This window comes from Homo sapiens, chromosome 9 (assembly GCF_000001405.40).
Source record: "Homo sapiens chromosome 9, GRCh38.p14 Primary Assembly".
NCBI classification, from domain to species: Eukaryota; Metazoa; Chordata; class Mammalia; order Primates; family Hominidae; genus Homo; species Homo sapiens.
In genome coordinates, this window is record NC_000009.12 from 88,176,658 (window position 1) to 88,183,414 (window position 6,757).

Below are 6,757 nucleotides of genomic sequence, written 5' to 3' on the forward strand. Positions count from 1 at the left end.
TACTGCCTGCAAGCTGGAGACTCAGGAAAGTTGATGGTGTACTTCAAAGGCCTGAGGGCGTGAAAGCCAGTGATGTAGATTCGTAGATTCCAGTCTAAGTTTGAGGGCCTGAGAACCTGGAGCACTGAAGGCAGGAAAAAATCAATGGCCCAGCTTCAACAGCCAGGCAGAGTGAATTCAACCCTCTTCCACCTTTTTTGTTCTATTTAGGCCTTCAACAGATTGGACGCTGCCCACCCACATCGGGGAGGGCCACCTGCTTTTCTCAGTCCACGAATTCAAATGCTGCTGTCTTCCAGAAACACCTTCACAGACACATCCATTATATATTAAATACAATGTGTTGCTAAATATCTGGGCATCCTGTGGCCCAATCAAGTTGACACACAGAATTCACCACTACAGGAGTCAGGGTTAAAATGATTGGATGATTATCTTGAGATCAGCGGGTCAGCTCCCAGGTTTTGAAATTGAGTGACACGGTAGGAAATGCCCAAACCAGGTATCTCAGGAAACACAGGATAAGTTTGATGAAGAGAAGACAGAGCTTCTGCTTTGGGCACATAAAGTTAAGATGCAAATCGTGGTTTGGGTTTTTATTGTAGAAACCCAGGCAGCAGTTTGGAAGATTGGTCTGGAGTACTAAAGAGAGATTTATCTAGAGAGAGACTTGACAGTCATTGGCATTTGGGCTGGGTGAATCCACAGATCCTTTAAGGAGAACGATGTGAGAGACTGGGAGAAGGAGAGAAATCTGAACATTCAAGTCACTGAGAACGAAGTGGCAGTGGAGAGAAGAGCAGCAATCACAGAAATGGAGCAATGAGGAAGGAAGGAGGGGATGGCATCTGTGCCAAAAGTCAGCGGGAGGGCATGCAGGAGAAGGATGGGAAGTGTCTACAACTCTCATGATTCTGGGTAAAACTGGAGTCCTGTGTTCTAGTAGTCTCAATAGAGGGAAGAAGGTGGAAGCTAGATTTTAAATGGGGTTGAGCCAGAAGGGAAGTTAGGAGGGAAATGAAACTATTTTTAGAAATTTGGCTATGAAGAAGACTTGAGGTGGATAGCTCTCTATCTTTTAAGGTGAAAATCATGCAATTTTGTTTATATCTCGAGAGAAAGAGGCTGTGAGTGTTGCTGGAGGGCTCGGGAAGGTCTCTGGATGCCAGTGAGACCCCAGCCCCAGCCGGTTTTCCAGGTTCTTGACAGCATCACAAGAACGAATTCAGGGGGGAGTCGAGTCAGAATGAAGCGCAAGGCGAGAAGCTTCCATTGCAAAGCGAAAGTGTGCTCTTGAGAGGAGCGTAGCCATGCCCGTGAGAACAAGTCAGGCACAACGGAGGCTGGGTTTCTTATTTTAGGGATGTTTCTTTCTCTTTCTTTCTTTCTATTTCTTTCTTTCTTTCTTTCTTTCTTTCTTTCTTTCTTTCTTTCTTTCTTTCTTTCTTTCTTTCCTTTCTTTCTTTCTTTCTTCTTTCTTTCTTTCTTTCTGTCTTTTTTTTTTGAGACGGAGTCTCTCTTTCGCCCAGGCTGGAGTTCAGTGGCGCGATCTCGGCTCACTGCAAGCTCCGCCTCCCGGGTTCACGCCATTCTCCTGCCTCAGCCTCCCGAGTAGCGGGGACTACAGGCGCCGGCCACCACACCCGGCTGATATTTTGTATTTTTTAGTAGAGACAGGGTTTCACCGTGTTAGCCAGGATGGTCTCGATCTCCTGACCTCCTGATCTGCCTGCCTCATCCTCCCAAAGTGCTGGGATTACAGGTGTGAGCCACCGCGCCCAGCCCGGATGTTTCTTTAATAAGGGGGTGGAATGCTCATTAGGTATTCTGGAAAAGGAGGGGATTTCAGGGACTCCTCCCCGCTCCTGTTATTGCCTCCTTTCTCCCTTATTTGGGTTTACCTGGAAGAGTCATGGACATGTCACCCTGACCAGGGTTTTGGTCATTTTCTCTGCCTTATTTTGGGCTTTCTCTACCCTGTGGATTATTTGCCTAGCCCCTGCTTCAGGGGTTCTTTGGGTTTGTCCATACTCCTGCAACTACCCGTGCTATTCCTATCTCCTTAGAGGAGGAGAGATTGACGATATCGAAGAGAAATTACTCTGCTCTGTGGATCTCATTGGCACAGGTTCCTGCTGAAGTCTGAGGGGAAAAGGGGATTCTGGAAGGCGGAGAAATGGATGGATCCTGTGGAGAGGCCAGACAGCTTCCGAGCAGCTGAGAAAGAAGGAAGTCAGCCAAGGTCTGAAAGAAGAGAGATAGATGCTGGAGAGCATTTAAATGAAAAGAATTTAACCAGAAGTATCGGCAGAAGTAAAAGAAAAGCCATGTTGGGGGAACCTAAAGATTAGCCACAAAGGTTAAGGGAAAGGAGGGAGGAGAGGAGACGTTACTGCAGCCTGTGAAGGCCAGAGCAAGAGGCGTGGCCGTGGAAAGTGCAGGAAGTATGGCTATGGAGAGTGCTGGGGTGTGGCTGTGGTGGGTGCAGGAAGCGTGGCTGTGGAGCGGGTGTGGTTATGGACGGAGTGTGGCTGTGGAGGGGGTGTGACTGTGGAGGGTGCTGAGTGTGGCTGTGGTGGGTGCTGGGGGTGTGGCTGTGGTAGGGGAGGTGTGGCTATTGGATAGTCACAGCTGTGGTGGGTGCAGGGGGCAAGGCTGTGGTGTAGGAAGTGTAGTGTGGCTATTGAATGGGGTGTATAGCAGTGGTGAATACAGGAGGCATGGCCTTGGTGGGTACAGGAGGCATGGCTATAACACAGGAGGCATGGCCTTGGTGGGTGCAGGAAGCATAGCTGTGATGCAAGAAGCATGGCCTTGGTGAGTGCTGGAGTATGTTCTCTAAAGACACTGTGAACACTATTAGCCCATACTGAACCACTGCTCCTGGAGAAATACAGGGTTAGCTTCCACGCCTCTGATCACTACATTTTTGTCATCCAACCAATACATATTTTTGTTTTATGTGTTTTTATCTACAGACACCTTGTTTAATATACGTTTCTTACCAATAGTTAACTGTATGTATTATTCTTTATAATAAAACTCAAGCTGGGAAGAGTTTTGCGTTTTCCTGACCTTGGGTAATGTGACTAAAAATTTATTTGGCTGTCAGCCTCACAACAATGCTGTCCACTAAACTTTTTTTTTTTTAGATGGAGTCTCGCTCTGTCGCTCAGGCTGGGGTGCAGTGGTGCAATCTTGGCTCACTGCAACCTCCACCTCCCGGGTTCAAGAGATTCTCCTGCCTCAGCCTCTTGAGTAGCTGGGATTACGCGCACCAACACGCCCGGCTAATTTTTGTATTTTTAGTAGAGATGAGGTTTCACCATGTTGGTCAGGCTGGTCGCGAACTCCTGACGTCGTGATCCGCCTGCCTCAGCCTCCCAAAGTGCTGGGATTACAGGCGAGCCACCGCGCCTGGCCAGTCCACCAAACTTTTAATGTCATCTCATGAATCCACAAATTTCACTGGTTTTTTTTCTTCTTCTTGTTTTTCCATAACTTTACCAGGTACTATAGATGTTACTTGGGCACTTTTCAGAGTGGCCTCACATCTGCGTCAATGACTTTCCTCTTCCTCCTTCTGGATGTAACATATTGTTGACTCATTGCTGTTGAACTTACTGTCAACAGCACTGTAACTCATGCCTGAGCCAAGCTTGTCTAACAGGTATATTTTCTCTGTAAAGCACATCACAGCCTTTCTGCACTTAGGAACATTAGACAGCACTTCAGCAGTACACTTGGGGGCCATTTTAAACAATTAAATCACTGATAGGCTCCGCTCCGCTCAGGGCGGCCCCAGACACGGGTTTCCCATGGCAGCACCACGGCACGCCCGGCGCACCTGCTGCCCCGAACCCCTGGCTCCAGGGGGCAATGAGGGGGCAGTGGAAGGGGCACTACTCCTCGGGCATTGCCTAGAGAAGCGAGACCGTCCCGCCCTCCCGCTGGCCCTCCTTCTCTCCCGCCCGGGGCCCGCGCAATTCTCCGCCAGAGGGACAGTCGGCCTCATATGTTAAGACCTCTGATCACTAGATCCCCTGCATCTCCACTGAACAACCAAGGCACCCCTACTCCGGCACAACTCACAAAATCCAATGCGCATGTCCACACTGATGTGGGCAGCCACATGTACACCAGCAGCCTGGCCACCCTCACCAAATACCCTGTATCCAGAATCAGAAGACTTTGTGATGGTACAGAGCCCATAGTTTTGGACAGTCTCAAACAGCACTATTTCACTGACAGAGATGGACAGATGTTCAGATATATCTTGAATTTTCTACGAACATCCAAACTCCTCATTCTTGATGATTTCAAGGACTACACTTTGTTATATGAAGAGGCAAAATATTTTCAGCTTCAGCCCATGTTGTTGGAGATGGAAAGATGGAAGCAGGACAGAGAAACTGGTCGCTTTTCAAGGCCCTGTGAGTGCCTTGTTGTTTGTGTGGCCCCAGACCTCAGAGAAAGGATCACGCTAAGTGGTGACAAATCCTTGGTAGAAGAAGTGTTTCCAGAGATCGGCGATGTGATGTGCAACTTTATCAGTGCAGGCTGGAATCACGACTCCACGCACATCGTCAGGTTTCCACTAAGTGGCTACTGTCACCTCAACTCAGTCCAGGTCCTCGAGAGGTTGCAGCAAAGAGGATTTGAAATCGTGGGCTCCTGTAGGGGAGGAGTGGGCTTGTCCTAGTTCAGCAAATACGTCCTTCATAGGGAACTGAGGCGGATGCCTTCCCGTACCCTCCATCATCTGGATAAAGCAAGAGCCTCTGGACTAAACGGACATATTTCTTATGCAAAAAGGAAAACACACACAACTAATAAACAAATAATAAAAAAGGGACATTTGTGTGCAGTTGGGACAGAAAACCAAGTCCTGCACCTAAAATTGAATAAAAGATGCATTTATATGCAATAGAGACCACACCTGTATTCATATGGGAACAATTGGAATAGTGATATCCTCAAGGTGAAAAAAAAAAATATATATATATATATATATGTCAAAAGGTAGGAAATGCAAAAAAGAAAAAAAAAAAAAGGTGACAGCCGCAGTTGGTGCTGTGATAGCCATGAAATATCCTGGGCCCCCCGAGGCCTCTGACCAATAAACAAGCCGTGAATGGTGAGGACAGTTTCCTCACAGTTTCCATTGCCAACAGCCATCCATTCTTTCTTTTTCCTTTGTCTTTCTTTTTCCTTTTTTAAAAAACAAAACAAAACAAAAAAAAACAAGCCCAGGCGTGGTGGCTCACGCCTGTAATCCCAGCACTCTAAGAGGCCGAGGCAGGCGGATCACCTGAGGTCGGGAGTTCGAGACCAGCCTGACCAAAATGGAGAAACCCCGTCTCTACTAAAACAAATACAAAATTAGCCAGGTGTTGTGGCACATGCCTGTAATTCCAGCTACTCGGGAGGCTGAGGCAGGAGAATTGCTTGAACCCTGGAGGCGGAGGTTGTGGTGGGCTGAGATTGTGCCATTGCACTCCAGTCGGGGCAAGGAGAGCGAAACTCTGTCTCAAAAAAAAAAAAAAAAAAAAAAAAAAAAGCACCTTGAATCAAGTTTCTTTGTATATGGAGGTTCTACGTCTCTCTTTAGGCAGGGACCAGGCAGGACTTCAGAAAAACCCTCATGAGCACATTGCATTTGAAAGATGTTAGACATGAAATGCTAAATGTAGTTTGTACAGAAGTCACACCTTTTTGTCCACCTCACAGATGTGAACTTTATTATTCCTTGTTAGAATTGCTCCAGTTCAAGTCTGCTGCTTTCCTGCAATTTTTCAAATTTTATATTGTATTAAATACAATAAAGTCTGTTTAAAAAATAAGGTCTGTGTGAAACACACGTGTGGGGGTCAGGCTGGATTAAAATGAAATTTTTCTTTAAAAAAAAAAACACTGACAAAAAGCACAAAAATGCCAAAAATGTGACACTAAATAGACAGTGATAACGACAAGGTAACAGTATGACAGCTGAAACAAGAGGCAGCGCATTGCCTTGTTTGACCTCAGCTAAGAACTGTGCCTGGAGAAACACATTTTTCACTGCTCGGGGCATGCTTGTGAATGACTGAGGAGGCGTGACAATGATTGATTTGGGGGTTACAAATAAATTTCAGCGAGCAGGCAAATTTGGAAGTTTGGAACTGCAAATAATGAGAGTATCTCATGAAGCCACTAGAGGATGTCCTTTTGCCCAAAAAGAGAATTCAGCCAAAAAGAAGAAATTTTGCGATATAGAATACAGAAGATTCAACCCAGGAAGGATTGAAGTGGGTGGGAAAGGCATCTTCAGAAAGAGGAAAGTGATAAAATACCTGATGAACCTGATTATACTGAGAAGAGACTTAGATAACTGGTGGAAAATTGTGCTTGGATTAACGACGATTATATATATTTTTAAAACCAAGTTAATAAACAATAGGCTGGGCATGGTGGCTCATGCCTATAATCCCAGCACTTTGGGAGGCCAAGGTGGGTGGATCACCTGAGGTCTGGAGTTCGAGACCAGCCTGACCAACACGGTAAAATCCCGTCTCTACTAAAAGTACAAAATTAGCTGGCTGTGGTGGCACATGTTTGTAATCCCAGCTACTCAGGAGGCTGAGGCAGGAGAATTGATTGAACCCGGGAGGCAGAGGTTGTGGTGAGCCAAGATGGCGCCACTGCACTCCAGCCTGGGCAATAAGAGTGAAACTCCGTCTCAACGAAAAAAAAAAAAAAAAAAAAACAATAAAATGAA

General features: G+C 46.4%; 1 pseudogene, besides 2 other annotated features; it reads left to right on the top strand.

Annotated features, from left to right (window-relative positions):
- Nucleotides 3,229–3,821: an enhancer, noted in NCBI's record as "H3K4me1 hESC enhancer chr9:90794801-90795393 (GRCh37/hg19 assembly coordinates)". NCBI's record gives its function as "activates a minimal SCP1, AML or CMV promoter by ChIP-STARR-seq in primed H9 embryonic stem cells {active_cell/tissue: H9 hESC(primed)}" and the evidence as "EXISTENCE:reporter gene assay evidence [ECO:0000049][PMID:30033119]".
- Nucleotides 3,822–4,413: an enhancer, noted in NCBI's record as "H3K4me1 hESC enhancer chr9:90795394-90795985 (GRCh37/hg19 assembly coordinates)". NCBI's record gives its function as "activates a minimal SCP1, AML or CMV promoter by ChIP-STARR-seq in naive H9 embryonic stem cells {active_cell/tissue: H9 hESC(naive)}" and the evidence as "EXISTENCE:reporter gene assay evidence [ECO:0000049][PMID:30033119]".
- Nucleotides 4,001–5,900, top strand: LOC389768 (potassium channel tetramerization domain containing 1 pseudogene; annotated as a pseudogene).